The following is an 18632-nucleotide window of genomic DNA, read 5'->3' on the forward strand; positions in this document are numbered from 1 at the left end:
GATTCTCCTGCCTCAGCCTCCCAAGTAGCTGGGATTACAGGCACCCACCACCACGCCCGGCAAATTTTTGTATTTTCAGTAGAGATGGGGTTTCACCGTATTGGCCAGGGTGGTCTCGAACTCCTGACCTTGTGATCTGCCTGCCTCAGCCTCCCAAAGTGCTGGGATTATAGGCATGAGCCGCTATACCTGGCCTATTTTTTTAATAGAGACAGGGTTGTGCCATGTTCCTCGGGCTGGTCTTGAACTCCTGGGCTCAAGTGGTTCACCCACCCCAGCCTCCCAAAGTGCTGGGATTACAGACATGAGCTACCACCCCTGGCCTAACAGAAGTTTATTGCTCACAGTTTTGAAGGCTGGGAAGTCCAAGATCAAGGCCCCAGCAGATTCGGTGGCCAGTGAGGGCCTGCTTCCTCATAGACTCACTCTAGTCTCACATGGCAGAAGGTGGAGAAGCTCTCTGGGGCCTCTTTTATAAGAGCACTAATCCCATTCATGAGGACTCCACCCTTATGACCTAATCACCTTTAAAAGGCCCCCACCTCCTATCACTGTGGGTTAGGATTTCAACATATGAACCGGGGGAAGGGGCACAAACATTCAGACCAAAGCACAGGTGCTGTTTAGTTAGGCACAGGGTGGGGGTTGTGGCAGGGGGAGGTTACAGCAGTAAACAACAGACACAAACCTCTGCTGTCACGGATGTGAGCGTTCTAATATGTAAGACAACAAACAAGGTAAATGGGGCCTGGTCTCCACACCTGTAATCCCAATACTTTGGGAGGCCAAGGCCAGAGGATTGCTTGAGCTTAGGAGTTGGAGAATGACCTGGGCAACATAGTGAGACCCCCGTCTGTTCAAATATATATATATATATATATTTTAAAATTAGCTGGGCATGTTGGTGCGTACCTGTAGTCCCGGCTATGCAGGAGGCTGAGATGGGAGTCCCTTGAGCCCAGGAAGTCGAGACTGTCGTGAGCTGTGATGATGCCACTGCACTGTAGCCTGGGTGACAGAGCAAGACCATGTCTCTGGATAAATAAATACACAAATTAATAAATATAAAAATAAACGAGCTATATACAGATTCACAATTCCAAATTTTTATAGAAGTCTGAAAACCAGGCCAGGCGCAGTTGCTCACACCTGTAATCCCAGCATTTTGGGATGCTGAAGTGGGCGGATCACCTGAGGTCGGGAATTCAAGACCAGCCTGGCCAACATGGTGAAACCCTGTCTCTACTAAAAATACAAAAATTAGCTAGGTGTGGTGACACACGTCTGTAATCCCAGCTACTAGGGAGGCTGAAGCAGGAGAATCGCTTGAACCCGGGAGTTAGAGGTTGCAGTGAGCTGAGATCACACCACCGCACTCCAGCCTGGGTGACAGAGTGAGACTCTGTCTCAAAAAAGAAAAAGAAGTCTGAAAACCAAAATCCTTTCATAACTCATTTATGGCAAAACCTAACCTGAACTGACCTGAGATTATATATAGCTTTTATTTATTTCACTTGATGTGAATATTCTTGTGTTTTGCTGAAGATAAAGTGACTTGAGGATTTTACTCCTGGTCCCACCAGGGGTATGAAATACATAGTATTTATACCCTATTACTTTTTTAAAATCTGAAAAATCCTGAATTTCCAACTCCAGGATCATGGATTTAGCTAAGGGATCTCTGATATGTTAGATATCGATATGTGATAAGGAGAACACTCAAGCTAAGGAAGCCGATGTGACAAGTGTGGGATAGGGACATGGTTTGCAATTTTTTTAAGAGAGAGGGAGGGTCTCGCTCTGTTTGTTGCTTAGGCTGAGCGACGAGTGGAATGCAGTGGCATGATCATAGCTCACTACAGCCTTAAACTTCTGGGATCCAGCGATCCAGTGATCCTCCCAAGTAGCTGGGACTACAGGCACACACCACCATGCCTGCTAATTTTTTAAATTTTTAGTAAAGACAATGTCTTACTATATTCCCCAGGCTGGTCTTCAACTTCAGGGCTCAAGCGATCTTCCCACTTCGGCCTCCCAAAATGCTGGGATTAAAGGGGTGAGCTGCCATGCCTGGGCTATGGTTTGCAATTTTTAAAAAAGTGATCAAGGAAGTTTTCTCTGAGATGACACTGGGAGGGAGGGAGCCATGCAAATATGTGGTGGGGAGACCTCTAGGCAAAGGGAAGAGCAAGTGCGAAAGCCTTGAGGTGGGAACATGCCTTCTGTGTTCAGGGAACAGCAAAGTGGCCTGTGTAGTAGTTGGCACAGGGTGAGCAAGGAGGAGACAGAAGAAAAGGAGGCTGGGGAGACGGTGGGGAAGTTGAGGAGATGGTGGAGCTGATCATGGGCCACTGGGGGGATGAGATGAGAGCATCAGATAGCTGATGGCAGAGGAAAGACAGCATCATGAGGCCCCCTGATTGACTGACCAAGGCTCCTGTTTCCAGAGCTTATACACCTGAGACCCGTGGTCTCTCCTGACACACAGCTGTCTCCACTGGGGCCAGGAAGAAAGCAAAGCTTCAGCACAACGGACAGCGCCACCACCCAAACCAGCAGGCCCTGTCTGTGATGCTGACGCAGAGCGCTGGCCAACAATGGGAATAGTGGGGGAAGAATCAGGTCCCATTCAGGAGGGTGGTGACAGCAGCCCTGGCCTTGCACCAACCCCCATACTGGGATAGATGATCTTAGAGAACACAGGCTGGCTTGTACCTGTTTGGGATTGGCTGGGCGTGGTGGCTCACGCCTGTAATCCCAGCACTTTGGGAGGCCGAGCCAGGCGGATCACTTGAGGTCAGGGGTTTGAGACCAGCCTGGCTAACATAGTGAAACACCATTACTACTAAAAATACAAAAAATTAGCTGAGCGTGGTGGTATGCGCCTGTAATCCCAGCTACTCAGGAGGCTGAGGCAGGAGAATCGCTTGAACCCAGGAGGCAGAGGTTGCAGTGAGCAGAGATCATGCCATTGCGCTCCAGCTTGGGCAACAAAAGCGAAACTCCAGCTCAAAAAAAAAAAAAAAAATGAAAGCCTTCTCAGCTGGGCACAAGTGGCTCATTCCTGTAATCCCAACACTATGGGAGGTCTAGGTAGGAGGATTGCTTGAACCCAGGAGTTTGAGATCAGCCTAGGCAATGTAGCAAGACCCTGCTCTCTAAAAAGTAAAGCGTTTAGGCCTGGAGCAGTGGCTCACGCCTGTAATCCCAGCACTCAGAGAGGCTGAGGTGGCAGATCACCTGAGGTCAGGAGTTCAAGACCAGATTGGCCAACATAGTGAAACCCCATCTCTACTACAATTACAAAAATTAGCCAGGAGTGGCAGCATGCGCCTGTAATCCCAGCTACTCAGGAGGCTGAGGCAGGAAAATCACTTGAACCCGGGAGGCGGAGGTTGCAGTGAGTCCAGATCGCACCATTGCACTCCAGCCTGGGTGACAGTGCGAGACTCGGTCTCAAAAAATAAAAAAACGACAACAACGACAACAAAAATCAAAAGCCTTCTCAACATGCCCCTGTGGGTCTCACAGCATCTCAATCTCAAGTTGACTAAAACAGAGCTCTCTGATTTAGAATGTCACAACACAACTATCCCAGGCACAGAGCTCTCTCCTGTCTCCTCATGACTCGAGTAAAAGCCAACTTTCTCCCAATGCCTCAGGGCCCTTGCACTGAATGAATTCTCCACCTAGAATGTTCTTCCCCTGCATATTTGCACAGTTCACACCCTGACCTCTCTCAGGCCTTTTCTCAAATGTCGCCTTCCCAGCCTGACCCAACCACCCTATTCAAAATTGAAAAAACAACTGGCCCTTCCTTCTAACTTCCCTTCCTTGTGCAAATTTCTTTTCTTTTTTTTTCTTTTGAGATGGAGTCTTGCTCTGTCACCCAGGCTGGAATGCAATGGTGCGATCTCAGCTCACTGCAACCTCCACCTCCTGGGTTCAAGTGATTCTCCTGCCTCAGCCTCCTGAGTAGCTGTGATTACAGGCGCCCCACCCCGCCCAGCTAATTTGTGTATTTTTAGTAGAGATGGGGTTTCACCATGTTGGTCAGGCTGGCCTCAAACTCCCGACATCAGGTGATCCGCCCGCCTCAGCCTCCCAAAGTGCTTGGATTACAGGGGTGAGTCGCCGTGCCCGGTCCCTTGTGCAAATGTCTTTTTGCCTATGCTTGTCATGTGCTCACAGTGTTTCAATTCCTCGTGATGCTCAGTGGGTCTTTATAGGTCTCCCTCACTCGGATGTCGCTCCACCAGGACAGAGATTTGATCTGTTGTCTGTTCACTGTGGGGTCTACAGTTACTAGAATGGGCCCTGATACATAGTAGATACTATTGCTTGAGGATGCCAGTAAACTAAGGATAGGCACAGAGTGACCCCAAGCCACCTAGTTCCTACCCTGTAGCCCCAGGTCCAACCCTACCTGCAGGCAGGTACATTCCTCCATGATTCTCCTCTATGGTAAATCTTCTTCTGTCAAGATGTGAAGACAGGCCAGACACAGTGGCTCATGCCTATAATCCTGGCACTCTGGGAGGCCAAGACAGGCGGATCATCTGAGGTCAGGAGTTTGAGACCAGCCTCGCCAACATGGTGAAACCCCATCTCTACTGAAAGAAATACAAAAGAAAAAAAAATAAGCTGGGCATAGTGGTGTGTACCTGTAATCCAAGCTACCCGGAAGGCTGAGGCAGGAGAATTGCCGGAACCCGGGAGGTAGAGGCTGCAGTGAGCCGAGATCGCGCCACTGCACTCCAACCTGGGTGACAGAGCGAGACTCCGTCTCGAAAAAACAAAACAACACAACAACAATAACAACAAAAACAGATAATCAGTTAAAGAGTGAAATGTGTGCAATTTTGGGCAGGCAGTCAGGGGAAGCCTCTCTGAGTAGATGATATTTTGACCAAAGACCTAAAAAGAGTGGAGGGAAAAAAAAGTCGGCTGGACTCGGTGGCTCACACCTGTAATCCCAGCACTTTGGGAGGCCAAGGCGGGCAGATCACCTGAGGTCAGAAGTTTGAGACCAGTCTGACCAACACGGAGAAACCCCGTCTGTACCAAAAATACAAAATCAGCCGGGCGTGGTGGTACATGCCTGTAATCCCAGCTACTTGGGAGGCTGAGGCAGGAAAATCACTTGAACCTGGGAGACGGAGGTTGTGATGAGCCAAGATTGCACCATTGCACTCCAGCCTGGGCAACAAGAGCAAAACTCCATCTCAAAAAAAAAAAAAAAAAAAAAAGCCAGAAGGATATCTGGAAGCTGACTGCTGCACACACAAGAACATCAAGTGCAAAGGACTTGTGGTGAGGCTGTATTCAGCATGCTCCCATGTATGTAACTGTGCTGGACTCTGTGATGTGGGTGTCACTACTGAGTATTTGTGCATTTTTGTTTGTTTTTGTTGAGATAGGGTCTCGCTATGTTGCCCAGGCTGGAGTGCAGTGGCACAATCACTGCTCACTGCAGCTTTGACTTCCTTGGGCTCAAGCAATCCTCCTGCCTCAGACTCCCAAGGAGCTGGGACTACAGGTGCACGCCACCACACCTGGCTAAATTTTTTTTTTTTTTTTTGAGACAGAGTCTCGCTCTGTCGCCCAGGCTGGAGTGCAGTGGCGCGATCTCGGCTCACTGCAAGCTCCATCTCCCGGGTTCACGCCATTCTTCTGCCTCAGCCTCCCAAGCAGCTGAGACTACAGGCGCCTGCCACCATGCCTGGCTAATTTTTTTTTCTATTTTTAGTAGAGGCTGGGTTTCACCGTGTTAGCCAGGATGGTCTTGATCTCCTGACCTTGTGATCTGCCCACCTCGGCCTCCCAAAGTGCTGGGATTACAGGCGTGAGCCACCGCGCCCGGCCAACACCTGGCTAATTTTGAAGTATTTTGTAGAGATGGGGGTCTCCCTACATTGCCCAGGCTGGTCTTGAACTCTTGGCCTCAGGCAATCCTCTTGCCTTGGCCTCCCAAAGCACTGGGACTACAGACATAAGCCACCACACCTGGCCTGTATGTGCATTTGGAGTGTTGAAATGTGAGGTGAATCATGCGTTGTATATCTGCTGGGGGATGGGGGCTGAGGTGGCGTGTTTGACAGCGCAGTGTATCGGTGTGCTTCACTGTGTGTGTCTGTGTGTGTAGTGGCAATGTCATAGTTGCGTGTTTTGCAAGAGAAAGGGTGTGGGGGATGAATGTGGGACAGAGTTTGTATGGGATGCTTTGTGTCAGGATAGGGCAAGGTTGGAGCATGTGGATGATGGGGATTCTGAAAGTAGAATATATTCAGAGATGCCATGGTGTGTGTGTGTGTGTGTGTGTGTGTGTAGAGGGGTGTGAGTGAGCCCAGCTGTGTGAGTGGGTGTGTTGGGGGATGTCGTGGAGCTGTTTTCTGGTCCCAGAGGGAGAGAGAAAGCCCAGGAAATCTCACTTTCTCCCTGCCCCTGGGTCTCCAGGCAACGGCACCACTTTGGAGTTACCAGGAGACAAGGTTGCCAGGGCAACACAGGCGTGAGTGGCAGCTCTGGGGCGAAGTCTGGGTGAGAAGATCCAGCCAGGGATCACGATCATTCACTTTGTTCCTCCCTTTCTCCCTGTTTCTCATCAATCCCACCTCCCTTCCTTCATTGTCTTAACGAGCACGTATTTGAGAACCTACAAATGTGCTAGGTGCTATTCTCGGTACTGGAGAACAGAAGTGAACAAGACAATGTCCCTGCTGTATCTCTCCTTCAGTCTTCCAGCTCCTGTCTCTTTATCTCTCCTGCTTCCTTCTTTGTCCTGCGGTCCTGCCTTCCCCCCGTACCACAAAGGCGGCCCCACAGAACCCCTTAGCCAGTGAGGAAGTAAGTTGAGAGGCTTCATCTCACAGACTTTCGGGGATGGCCGTTGATGTTTTGTCCACGAGCCTGTGTCCCCAGACACACACTCCGGCCCATACTCAGGTGCACAGAAAGACAAGCACACAGCTCATCCCCCTCTCCAAAACTCTCAGTTGTCATTGGATGACATCAGCAAAACCACACACAAATACATGCCGATCACAATACTCCTCTGAGATATCATAAGCCCCATTTTACAGCAGGGCAAACTGAGGCTAGGAGCCTTTAAATAATATGTCACTCATTCTGGTCTACTCCTCCAACTTTCAACCCTTATATTTGTCTGATTAGCTGACAATAATAGTATTCGTGCTGGTTCCCCCAGCAGCCTCCCTCAGGGAAGGGTCTTATTTCCCTCGAATGCACCCATTCCTCCGCATAGGTTCTAACCATTTGCCCATTCACCTGAGGAATCGAGTTTTGATGGACAGATTCCTAGACCAATAGAGAAACTAAGTGAACTGTACCGATGCGGCCACGGCTTGGGCGGGACTAAGGCTGGGAACGAGCCACCGATTGGTCAGAGCTACGCGGCGAATGGCGGAGACGCTGAGGCGGGTGCTAACCAGGGGCGGTGCGGCCTGGTCCGGGGAGGAGAACATGCCTGCCGCCGGACCGCCTTTGCTGCTGCTCGGTACACCAGGATCTGGAAAAACAGCGCTGCTATTTGCTGCGGCCCTAGAGGCGGCGGGGGAGGGCCAAGGCCCAGTCCTCTTCCTGACACGAAGGCCTCTTCAAAGCATGCCCCGCGGGACCGGAACGACTCTAGACCCAATGCGACTCCAGGTAACCGTGGGGGTGGGAGCAGAGGCGTTCTAGCCAATGGTGGAGTAGATCCGGGATATTGAGTAACAGGTAGACAAGCCAATGGAGAGGACGGTGGAAGAGCGAGCCAGGGCAGCCACGATGGGGCGGAGTCAGGCAGGCGGAGTGAGGAGTGGCACCACGCGGAGCTTAGTTAAGATTGAAGTGAGAGCCCATCCAATGATGGGCGGTGTTAGCAAGAGGCGGTGCCCAGAGATTGAAGTCCGGCCCATCAAGGGGCGGGGCTAAGCTTGGGTCCATTCTGGACCTGAGTTGGTTCCTGTTAGTGTCAAGGATGGGGTCAGACCGAGAATGCTGGGGGAGGGTTTTCCGTGGAAAAATTGCGCTAGAGATTTGGCCAAAAACAAACAAGCAAAAATGGCTTGCCCTCAACTAATACTCGGCAGTGATGAGTGCTGGAAAAACGGGCGAATATAAGAATATTTAACAGCTCTGAACTGGTTCATCCTGGAACCAAGGAAAGTATGCAAGGAGGCAGGGTTACTTTTAAGGAGTCTGGCTTCCTGTGCTGAATCCGGCCCTTTCCTTCTGTTTCTCCTTCTAGAAGATCCGCTTCCAGTACCCACCCTCAACCCGAGAGCTTTTCCGGCTCCTGTGCTCTGCCCATGAGGCCCCGGGGCCAGCCCCCTCCCTTCTGCTGCTCGACGGCCTAGAAGAGTACCTAGCGGAAGACCCAGAGCCCCAGGAAGCCGCCTACCTCATTGCCTTACTTCTAGACACAGCTGCCCACTTCAGCCACCGGCTTGGGCCTGGCCGGGATTGTGGGCTCATGGTGGCCCTCCAGACCCAGGAGGAAGCAGGTAGTGGGGACGTCCTGCACCTGGCACTGCTCCAGCGGTATTTTCCTGCCCAGTGCTGGCTGCAGCCAGATGCACCAGGTCCAGGAGAGCACGGCCTCCGAGCCTGCCTGGAGCCAGGCGGGCTGGGCCCCAGAACAGAGTGGTGGGTGACTTTCCGATCAGATGGAGAAATGATGATCGCTCCGTGGCCCACCCAGGCTGGTGACCCCAGCTCAGGCAAGGGTTCAAGCTCTGGAGGCCAGCCCTGAGCTTTGGTGGGTGACTACCTCTCTGTGCTTCAGTTTCCCATGGCTGGAATACTTACCTCAGGGACATATGCAGATCCAAAGACCTAAACAATGTAAAGTGCTTTTTCTCTTTTAAAAGTATAGCATTATCTTGTATATATTTTACCCAATCAATATGTTGTTTATAGTTTCATTGCTTTAAACTTTATAAAAAGAGCTTCAGGCCAGGCGTGGTGGCTCACGCCTGTAATCCCAGCACTTTGGGAGGCTGAGGCGGTCAGATCACCAGAGGTCAGGAGTTGGAGACCAGCCTGCCCAACATGATGAAACCCTGTATCAACTAAAAGTACAAAAAAAATTAGCTGGGTGTGGTGGCAGGTGCCTGTAGTCTCAGCTACTCAGGAGGCTTAGGCAGGAGAATTGCTTGAACCCAGGAAGCGGAGGTTGCAGTGAGCCGAGATTGTGCCACTACACTCCAGCCTGGGTGACAAAGCGAGACTCCATCTCAAAAAAAAAAAAAAAAAAAAGTTTGAGACTTCCTTCTTTTTGCACTCAACGTTGTTACTAAGATTCATCTACATTTTTTTAGTTCATTCCTTTTTCCATATTGCATATAATTCCATGGGTGACTATACCCTGATTTCTTCATCAGATTGCCTTATTTACTGCTGCGAACATTCTTGCACACATGCCCTGGTACGTGTGTGTGTTTTTAGGGGCCGAGACAGGTGGATCACCTGAGGTCAGGAGTTCGAGGTCAGCCCGGCCTACATGGTGAAACCCCGTCTCTACTAAAAATACAAAATTTAGCCAGGCATGGTGGCATGCACTTGTACTCCCAGCTACTTGGGAGGCTGAGACAGGAGAATTGCTTGAACCCGGGAGGCAGAGGTTGCAGTGAGCTGAGATCGAGCCACTGCACTCCAGCCTGGGTGATGAAGACGAGACTCTGTCTCAAAAAAAAAAAAAAAAAAAATCAGTCAGGCTTGGTGGTGCACGCCAGTAGTCCCAGCTACTCGAAAAGCTGAGGCAGGAGGATCGCCTGAGCCCAGGAGGTCGAGGCTGCAGCGAACCATGTTTGAGCTACTGGGCTCCAGCCTGTGCAAAAGTGAGACCCTGTCTCAGAAAAAAAAAGAAGTAGTTAAAGCAAAACTCCCACTGAGTTACTTGTTGACACCAAGTGTCATCAGAGTACTTTCTTAGAACATGGCCTGATTCAGAATTACTTTTATTATTATTAGTGGCAGAGACTAGCTAGTGGCCCTTAAACAGCTTTGCCCTTCCTGGGTGTACAGCTAAACTAAGTTTCCTGGCCTTTCATGTGACTGGGGTCATGTGACTGTTTCCAGCCAGTGAGGTGTGAGAAGAAGAGAGGAAGCCCATTTCCAGGCCAGATCCCTCAAATGGCCCATTGAGGGTCATTGCTGCCCTTTTTCTTCCCTTGCTGACTGGCAGTTTGTAGAACAGGGGATCCATCTAAGTACCCTAAGAGAAGGTAGAGCTACAGACTGGAAGAGTCTGAACCTCTGACTCATCCCATGGATGGCTGCCCATTTGAGCTGAGTTAGGAGAGAGAAATCATTTAATGTGGTAAGCCAGTAAGATTTAAGAGCTGTTTAACATACTATTTTGTTATGTTATGAGTAGCATTCAGATTGCAGATCCAGCTTCTGAATAAGCTCAAGAACTTTAACTTCTATCCCTATGGCCTATGCCCAGGGGAAGATGGGACTTAAAGGGTGTTTGTAGAAATCATGGTAGAAAAACTTACATACATATGTGTATATATATATATAGATACAAAAAAAAACTATACATATTTAAAAATACTGCAAGGTTGTGGTTTCCTGAGCAGGATGGATTGGGCAGACAAAATCAGCAATGCCCCTGCTCCTGAGAGAGGCCTCGCCATCCCTGTTCCATAAGTCTTGAGTCTGCACTGGTTCTCTGAGTCATATTGGATCCCTGATCATCTGCAGCCTGGTGTCCTAAGAGCAAGCCACATAGCTGGGGGGCAGAGGCTCAGCGGCTGGGATAAGGCTGTTCTCATAAGGGTTGGAGTAGGGGCCATCGGATAAGCCCCCTTGGGCTCCCTGGGAGTCCCCTGAGCTGTAGTCAGTTGAGATGCCAGAGTCAGATACCACAAGGTACAGGTACTTTAGGTGGGGTGGGGTAGGGGGCAGCTCAGGGCACAGTGTCCATGGACGCAAGAGCTGGGAGCTGGGGTCCAGGATAGTGTACTCAAAGCTGGCAGCAGAGGCTCCCTCTGGGCTGGGCTTCGAGGCCAAAGCAGATGAGCAGGAGGATGCTTCTGAGCCTTCATCCATGGCCACTATGTCCACACTGCCACCAGGCCCTGGGAGGTCCTCACTGGGCGGGTTCCGGGGCAGCAACCATTTGTCCAGCACCAGATAGGTATCCTGGGCATGCTCACTGCCCACTGGCTCCAGCAGGGGGCCCTCATCATCTGTCCCCGGCTCCACTGCCTGCATCGTCCCCCAGCAGCGCTCTGAGAGGACTTCCAGGGAAGCAGGTGGGTCCTCCGTGAAGGGGGTGCAGGGGCTCCACCACAGGCAGCCATCATTCTGGTACAGCCACAGCTGAAGAAATAGCACCAACCTGCTCAGAGAGGCCTGCAGTTTGGCTGCAAGAAGCAGGGAAGCCCAGGCACTGAGGGGACAACCAGGCCACCTACCTGGAAGTTACCCTTGTGGGTGGTGAAGAGGCCTTCAAACTCGCTCTCTGGGCTCGGGATGCCAGGCCAGATCTTCTGCTTCAGAGCCCTGTTGAAGCCAATATAAATAGTTACATAGATATGACTCATTGAATACTCACCAATTCCCCCTCCACTCCCAGTCATAGAGGCACAGATACACTTGGTCCCTGTGATCACAATGGAGGCAGAGGAGTACATCAGGGCCAGGGGACAGGGGTTTTGGCTGAAGCATCAGCAAGGCCCTACAAAAGGGTAAATGGAACAGGGTATTGAAGGGTGCATAGGAGTTCAATATACCTTGGTCATTCTCCCTTTAATCCTGGCCATGGCCAGGTGCAGTGGTTTACACCAGCACTATAATCCCAGTACTTTGGGAGGCTGAGGTGGGAGGATCATTTGAACCCAGGAGTTCAAGACCAGCCTAGGAAACATAGTGAGACCCCCATCTCTAAAAAAAATAAAATAAAATAAATTAAAAAACCCAAAACCCTGGCCCAGATTTTTCCAGGAGGTCCATGATGTCACTTCATAGATAAATATTATGTTACCTTCTGGGGTAATGAGAGAAGGCATTTAGGATAAAATCCAAGCCAGGCACGGTGGCTCATGCCTATAATCCCAGCACTTTGAGAGGCTGATGTGAGCAGATCACCTGAGGTCAGGAGTTTGAGACCAGCCTGGCCAACATGGTGGAACCCCGTCTCTACTAAAACTACAAAATTAGCCGGGCATGCACGCCTGTAATCTCAGCTACTCAGGCGGTTGAGGCAGGAGAATCACTTGAACCTGGGAGGCAGAGATTGCAGTGAGCCAAGACTGCTGCACTGCACTACAGCTTGGGCGACAAGAGTGACTCTGTCTCAAAAAAAAAAAAAATTCCAAACTCCTCCCCACCACCCTGCAGAAGGCCCTGCGTTATATGACCCCTGTCACCTCCCTCATCTCAATATCTGCCACACCCCCTTACATACCACTCTAGCCATGTGGCAATTTTTTTTTTTTTTTTGAGACGGAGTTTCACTCTTATTGCCCAGGCTGGAATGCGATGGCACGATCTCGGCTCACCCGCAACCTCCACCTCCCAGGTTCAAGTGATTCTCCTGCCTCAGCCTCCCGAGTAGCGGGGATTACAGGCATGTGCCACCACGCTTGGCTAGTTTTGTATTTTTAGTAGAGGTGGGGTTTCTCCATGTTGGTCAGGCTGGTCGCGAACTCCCAACCTCAGGTGATCTGCCTGCCTCGGCATCCCAAAGTGCTGGGATTACAGGCGTGAGCCACCATGCCAGGCCATGCCATGTGGCAATTCTTGAAGCTGGCTGAACGTTCCAATCTCATTCCCACCTCAGGGCCTTTGCACTTGCTGTTTCTTCTCCCCACTTTTCAAGCGGCTGCTTCCTTCCAATCTTCAGGTTTCCACTCTGATGTCACCTCCTCCTGGAGGCCTTCCCTGACCATCCTGTCATGTCACCACATTCTGTTTGTTTCTGTGATATCACTCATTACAATTTGTCATCAAATATTTCTTGGGTCCCTTGTTTGTTGACTTGAGATCCACAAGGTCAGGGACTTGTGGTCAGGGTCTAGCTTGTTCTCCATTCTCTCTCCAGTGCCTGGCACATGTTTGGCACTCTGTTTGTATTTTCCAACCAAGTAAATGAACAGGGCCATGAAAGACGACTAGAAGATTGCTTAGCAGACAAGGCAGGAAGGGCATTCCAGGCAGAGGGAACAGCATGGGCAAAAGCTTGGGGGTGTGAAACCACCTAGTGTGTGCTTGGAATTACAAATACCTCAGAACGGCTAGTCTGATCATAGTGTCTGAGAAGCTTGACCGCAGGGGTGCGGAGGCATTCAGGGTCTTAAATTCTTTCACTAAATCCATCTAGTTGATTTTACAAAGGTGATGACACTGGGGAAAGGAACTAACAAAGGGACCCAAGAAATGGCAGCCCCTGATGTAGAAGGAAAATCAGGTGAAAGTCCCCAAGAGCAGAAAATGTTAACGAAGAGTCTGGGTCTAGTCTGGCATGCATCCCAGCCCTGCCACTGATGTGAATCCTTACTGCGTGACCTTGGGCAAGTGCGTGTCTCTCTCTGAGCCTAGGTTTCCATAGTGAAAGAGGACCGTTGGCGGGGAGGAGTCTGGGCCCAGCGCCCAAATGGGGAGCTCACCGGCGGTGGGAGAGCAGCGCGAGCACGGTCAGCAGCACCAGGATGACCACGAGGATGAGGGAGAGCGTCAGGATGAGGGGGTCCAGGTCTAAGAGGCGGGGAGGAGGTCAGGGCGGTGGGCTTGCCCCGTGATTCGCCCTGGCTCCTCCTACACCCCCGCCTGGGGCCTCACCGCTAGGCGTCAGCAGCGACACAGGCTCCGACCAGGCGCTCCAGAAGCCGCCGAAGCTCGGCTCAGCCATACGCGCGCGGACGGCGAAGGTGTAGCGCGTCCGGCCCCGCAGGTTGCTCAGCACACACTCGGTGCGGCCCTCCAGGATCTCCACCTGGGGGCGGAATCAGGGCGAGGGACGCGTAGCAGACAAAAATAGATGACGTGGGGGCGGGCCCTGGTGGAACTGAGCCAATCAGGGGAAAGGAAAACGGTGCCCTAGAATTGCAATGGGACCAATAAGAGTAGGGGGAGGAGCCCAAGAAAGCTCAGGGCCAATCAGAGAGAGAGTCTCTGGTACGAAAGGGCGGGACCCGGGCAATTTAATATCTGGGCTAGCACTCGTAGAGGGACCCGGGCGCTAAAGGGGTCTAGGGTTACGGGCCGGAGGGAGAAGAAGTTGGGGTTCAACAGGCTTGCGAGGACATTAGGAAAGGGGGTGTGTCTGTGGGCGTGGAACGGTCTTCAGCACCAGGGTAATGGGATGTGGGATGTTACGGACCGGCCCTGAAAGCGGCACCGGGCGCGACCTCGAGAGGCGTGGCTGGGCCGTAGTCAGTGGAGCTTTGGGGGCTGGGCCGTAGGGGCTGGCCTCACCCTCTGTACGCTCCCTGCGCCGTTGCCGGCCGAGACGTCCACCTCGTAGCGGATGTGAGACGTCATGGGTGTCTCAGGCGGCGGGAGCCAGCGCAACACTACGTGGCCGCTCTCGTCAGCCAACCGCGCCACCAGCCCCACGGGGGCGTCTAGGAGCACTGCAGGCATGGGGGTTGGTCAGGTGGGCGAGGACTGAGACCCTCTCCTCCGACCACTCCTCCATTCCCAGAGCACTTACCTACTTCATTGATGTGGATGACACGGTGATATCGCGGAGCGCCGGAGGCTGCTGTGACGCGCAACTCTAGGGGCACGAAGCTCGACGTGTCGGCTGTAGGCAGCGAACACCAGAAGCGCACCGCACCACGAGCCGTGGGAGCCTGGTGCAGGCGACACAGCTTCCATGGCTCATCCCTATGCGCCCAGGGAAGGGAGCAGGTTGGGAGGGGGGACCGGGGAGTTGGCATTGCCCGGCCTGTGGGGGGCAGTGTGTATGTGTGACACAAGGTCTAGCCTTGTGTGTGTGTGTGACAAGGTGTTCCTTCGTCGCCCAGGCTGGAGTGCAGTGGCGCGATCATGGCTCACTGCAGCCTCAAATTCTGGGGCTTAAGGGATCCTCCCACCTCAGCTTCCCAAGTAGTTGAGACCACAGGCACGCGCCACGCCTGGCTTTTTTTTTTTTTTTTTTTGAGACGGAGTTTCGCTCTTGTTGCCCAGGCTGGAGTGCAATGGCGCTACCTCGGCTCACCGCAACCTCCGCCTCCCGGGTTCAAGCGATTCTCCTGCCTCAGCCTCCCGAGTAGCTGGGATCACAGGCATGCGCCACCACGCCCGGCTAATTTTGTATTTTTAGTAGAGATAGAGTTTCTCCATGTTGGCCAGGCTGGTCTCAAACTCCCGACCTCAGGTGATCCGCCCGCCTCAGCCTCCCAAAGTGCTGGGATTACAGGCGTGAGCCACCGCGCCCAGTCTAATTTTTTTTTAAGAGACGGGGATCTCGCTGTGTTGCCCAGGCTGGTCTTGAACTCCTGGGCTCAAGCGGTTCTTCCGCCTCGACCTTCCAAAGAGTTGGGATTACAGGCATGAGCCACTGCTGGCCTCCTTTTGGATACTACCTCGAGAAGGCGTCCCAGCCCCGACGTAGTAACGCCTTACCCTCGATTTGGAGGCGTTGTTATCCCAGCCTGATGTTTGGGGTCGCGTTCCAGCGGTGATCGCGGGAGTGTTCGCGCCCCGGCCCATAGAGGGCGTGCCAGCCCTGGACCCGCAGGTTTCCCTCCAGTGACCACGACTGGAGGCGCCGTCGGGCCTCAAACAGCAGGGGACATACGAGGCTACGACCTCCAGGGAGCTCTGCCCCACCCCCTCCCTCCGCCCTTGGAGGCACCCGCCGGATCGGACTCACTCGAGCTGGTAGGAGAAGCTGTAGTTGCCCGGGCCCACCCCAGCGCTCGCCGCTTCCTCCCAGAAACACACCAAGTCCTCCAACCGCTCGGTGAAGCACAGAAGCTCTTCGGGCCCCCGGGCCGCCAGCAAGGCCGCTGGGGAGGGGCGACAAAGGAAGGGCATGGGGGTCTGAGCTCTATCCTCGGGAGACAGCCCCCTCCTCTTCCCTCCCGCAGCCTGGGCGGACCCGATAAGAAAAAAGCCCCGCCCTGCCATCTTCCCAAGCGGGTCCCTTGGAGGGGTCCGCAGAGGTGGTGCCCCCCTAATTCCCAGGGGCAAGTTTCTCGCCTTACTGTCCCCCGCCGTCACCACTGGCGCACACCTGCCCACCCAGCGGCCAGCTGAGCTGGGCGCGGCGTTCAAGACCTCGAGCTCGGGACTGCCAGCCCCGCCCCAGCCTAGGACACGCGCGCGGCTGGGGGTGTGTGCGGAGAGGCGGGCCCCCTATCGGCCCCGGCAGGCTCCCCGCCAACCGATAGCGCCAACCGTGCCCCCCGCCTCCCTCCCTCCACCGGGCCGGGCAAGTGATCTGGCGCCCTCACACAAACCGTGTTTACAGTAGCCTGTGGCTTGGCCCCTCTAACTCGGACCCGGGCTTTACCCTCCCTCCCCTAGGGAGGGTCGGCTTGGTCCCCACCCCCCAGGGACCTTAGCACCAAGTCAGCCCCCTTAGGATTTAGCATGTCCCAGACTCCCTGAAAAGGTAAAACGGGAATGTTAAGCCCACTCTAGCTCTTGCCCGGGACGCGATCAGGAGTCTTGGATCCTAACATACCCCACCCCGCCCCCCACCCATCCAGGACCCAGTCTAAGGGTTCAGATGCCAGCTTGGCCCCCAGGACCCGGTCAGGAAGTCCAGAAACAGGCATGGCCCCCAGGACCTAGGCTGGGAGTTCAGGCCCCAGCATGGTCCTGCAGGCTCCAGCGTAGGGGTCCACACGCAGCTCATCCTTACCTTTGCTCTCGAACTTGGGGTCCGGGAGGTTAGGCGGGGGCGCCCAGGCGGCCCCAGCGAGCAGGAGACAAAGGGAGCCGACCTGGGGCCAGAGGGACGCCCCGAGGTGGTCCATGATACAGCCCCCGCCACGGGGAGCCCAGGGCTCCTGCCCCTCCGTCCCCCGCCCCCGGCACAGTCCACAGCTGGGTCAGCAGCTGCCTCCGCCGGACGCAGCTGACCAGGCCCTTCCCGACCAGGCGCCTCTAAGTGGCAGATCCCCGAGGGGGCGGGGCCAGCACTCAGCCTGGGTAGAGATAAGTGCCTGGCGGGAGGAGGCAGGGGCCCTTCCCGAGCCCAGAGGCCGCTTGGGGGCAGGGGAGGGAGTTGGGCCGCAACAGCTCCCGTTCTGGCTTCAGACACACGTTTTTTTTTTCTTTGTGGCCCTGGACAGGTGACTTACCTTACCTGAGCTTCAGACTTCTCATCTGTAAAATCTAGCCTGGCACATAGCGAACATTCCAAAAAATGTACCTACTGATTTTATCGCAGAAATCAGCATCTCTTCCCAGCCTGGAAATAAATAAAAATTATTTTCTCTCTCTCTCTCTCTCTCTCTCTCTCTCTCTCTCCTTTCCTTCCTTCCTTCCTTCCTTCCTTCCTTCCTTCCTTCCTTCCTTCCTTCCCTCCTTCCCTCCTTCCCCCTCTCTCTCTCTGTCTCAGGGTGTTGCTCTGTCACCCAGGCTGGAGTGCAGTGGCACAATCATAGCTCACTGCAGCCTCTGGACTGAAGCAATCTTCCCACTGCACCTGGCTAATTTTTAAAATTCTTTGTAGAGATGGGATCCCACTATGTTGTCCAGGCTGGTCTTGAAATCCCGGACTTAAGCAATCCTCCAGCCTCCATCTCCCAATGTGCTGGGAATACCAGCACGAGCCACTGAAGCCGGCCAATAATAATCCTTGCAACGACCAGCAGTTGAGTGTTTGCACAGTGCTAGGCCATGCTCCTGGGCAGTATGCATAATATGTGAGATTTTCATTTACGAATTTTTGGGAAAAAAATTTTTACCACCCACATTTTTATTCTCTTGGGCTGGGCCCGGTGGCTCACGCCTATAATCCCAGCACTTTGGGAGGCCGACGTGGGCAAATCACTTGAGGTCAGGAGTTTGAGACCAGCCTGGCCAACATGGTGAAATCCCATCTCTACTAAAAATACAAAAATTAGCCAGGTGTGGTGGCGTGTGCCTGTAATCCCAGCTACTCAGGAGGCTGAGGCATGAGAACTGCTTCAGTCTGGGAGATGAAGATTGCAGTGAGCCAAGATCATGCCACTGCAACTCCAGCCTGGGCAACAGAGTGAGACTGCATCTCAAAAAATAATAATAATTGGCTGGGCGCGGTGGCTCATACCTGTAATCCCAACACTTTGGGAGGCCGAGACAGGCGGATCATGAGGTCAGGAGTTCGAGACCAGCCTGGGCAACATGGCGAAACCACGTCTCTACTAAAAATACAAAAATTAGCCAGGCGTAGGCCGGGCGCGGTGGCTCACGCCTGTAATCCCAGCACTTTGGGAGGCCGAGGTGGGCAGATCACGAGGTCAAGAGATCAAGACCATCCTGGCCAACATGGTAAAACCCCATCTCTACCAAAAATACAAAAATTAGATGGGCGTGGTGCTGCATGCCTGTAATCCCAGCTACTTGGGAGGCTGCAGGAGAATCGCTTGAACCCAGGAGCCGGAGGTTTCAGTGAGCCGATATTGTGCCACTGCACTCCAGCCTGGTGACAGAGCGGGACTCCGTCTCAAAAAATA

The 18632-nt window shown here is 53.1% G+C and overlaps 2 protein-coding genes across 3 annotated transcripts, besides 10 other annotated features; one reads left to right on the top strand and one right to left on the bottom strand.

Moving 5' to 3' along the window:
- Positions 7235-7314: a silencer, noted in NCBI's record as "silent region_10109". NCBI's record gives its function as "represses an Ori minimal core promoter by ATAC-STARR-seq in GM12878 lymphoblastoid cells {active_cell/tissue: GM12878}" and the evidence as "EXISTENCE:reporter gene assay evidence [ECO:0000049][PMID:35858748]".
- SWSAP1 (SWIM-type zinc finger 7 associated protein 1) lies at positions 7405-8908 on the top strand. Its single transcript, NM_175871.4, has 2 exons — positions 7405-7668; positions 8252-8908. The coding sequence occupies exons 1-2, from the start codon at positions 7420-7422 to the stop codon at positions 8753-8755; spliced, it is 753 nt and encodes a 250-aa protein (NP_787067.3). The 5' UTR covers positions 7405-7419; the 3' UTR covers positions 8756-8908.
- Positions 7415-7484: an enhancer, noted in NCBI's record as "active region_14009". NCBI's record gives its function as "activates an Ori minimal core promoter by ATAC-STARR-seq in GM12878 lymphoblastoid cells {active_cell/tissue: GM12878}" and the evidence as "EXISTENCE:reporter gene assay evidence [ECO:0000049][PMID:35858748]".
- Positions 7705-7754: an enhancer, noted in NCBI's record as "active region_14010". NCBI's record gives its function as "activates an Ori minimal core promoter by ATAC-STARR-seq in GM12878 lymphoblastoid cells {active_cell/tissue: GM12878}" and the evidence as "EXISTENCE:reporter gene assay evidence [ECO:0000049][PMID:35858748]".
- Positions 7985-8064: an enhancer, noted in NCBI's record as "active region_14011". NCBI's record gives its function as "activates an Ori minimal core promoter by ATAC-STARR-seq in GM12878 lymphoblastoid cells {active_cell/tissue: GM12878}" and the evidence as "EXISTENCE:reporter gene assay evidence [ECO:0000049][PMID:35858748]".
- Positions 8085-8134: an enhancer, noted in NCBI's record as "active region_14012". NCBI's record gives its function as "activates an Ori minimal core promoter by ATAC-STARR-seq in GM12878 lymphoblastoid cells {active_cell/tissue: GM12878}" and the evidence as "EXISTENCE:reporter gene assay evidence [ECO:0000049][PMID:35858748]".
- EPOR (erythropoietin receptor) lies at positions 9946-17053 on the bottom strand. Of its 2 annotated transcripts, none has more exons than NR_033663.2 (8): positions 16832-17053; positions 15586-15971; positions 14669-14844; positions 14431-14588; positions 13795-13948; positions 13623-13710; positions 11430-11517; positions 9946-11334 (listed from the first exon to the last, which is right to left on the bottom strand). NR_033663.2 is itself a non-coding variant. In NM_000121.4 (8 exons), exons 1-8 carry the CDS (start codon positions 16944-16946, stop codon positions 10723-10725), a joined length of 1527 nt encoding a protein of 508 aa, NP_000112.1. In that variant the 5' UTR covers positions 16947-17053; the 3' UTR covers positions 9946-10722. The 2 variants fall into 2 exon arrangements, 1 of the variants encoding a protein (NP_000112.1); NM_000121.4 differs by having other exon boundaries at positions 15836-15971.
- Positions 14156-14693: an enhancer, noted in NCBI's record as "NANOG-H3K27ac-H3K4me1 hESC enhancer chr19:11492093-11492630 (GRCh37/hg19 assembly coordinates)". NCBI's record gives its function as "activates a minimal SCP1, AML or CMV promoter by ChIP-STARR-seq in naive and primed H9 embryonic stem cells {active_cell/tissue: H9 hESC(naive and primed)}" and the evidence as "EXISTENCE:reporter gene assay evidence [ECO:0000049][PMID:30033119]".
- Positions 14360-14429: an enhancer, noted in NCBI's record as "active region_14013". NCBI's record gives its function as "activates an Ori minimal core promoter by ATAC-STARR-seq in GM12878 lymphoblastoid cells {active_cell/tissue: GM12878}" and the evidence as "EXISTENCE:reporter gene assay evidence [ECO:0000049][PMID:35858748]".
- Positions 14680-14739: an enhancer, noted in NCBI's record as "active region_14014". NCBI's record gives its function as "activates an Ori minimal core promoter by ATAC-STARR-seq in GM12878 lymphoblastoid cells {active_cell/tissue: GM12878}" and the evidence as "EXISTENCE:reporter gene assay evidence [ECO:0000049][PMID:35858748]".
- Positions 14750-14839: an enhancer, noted in NCBI's record as "active region_14015". NCBI's record gives its function as "activates an Ori minimal core promoter by ATAC-STARR-seq in GM12878 lymphoblastoid cells {active_cell/tissue: GM12878}" and the evidence as "EXISTENCE:reporter gene assay evidence [ECO:0000049][PMID:35858748]".
- Positions 16293-16352: a silencer, noted in NCBI's record as "silent region_10110". NCBI's record gives its function as "represses an Ori minimal core promoter by ATAC-STARR-seq in GM12878 lymphoblastoid cells {active_cell/tissue: GM12878}" and the evidence as "EXISTENCE:reporter gene assay evidence [ECO:0000049][PMID:35858748]".

This window comes from Homo sapiens, chromosome 19, assembly GCF_000001405.40.
Source record: "Homo sapiens chromosome 19, GRCh38.p14 Primary Assembly".
NCBI lineage: Eukaryota > Metazoa > Chordata > Mammalia > Primates > Hominidae > Homo > Homo sapiens.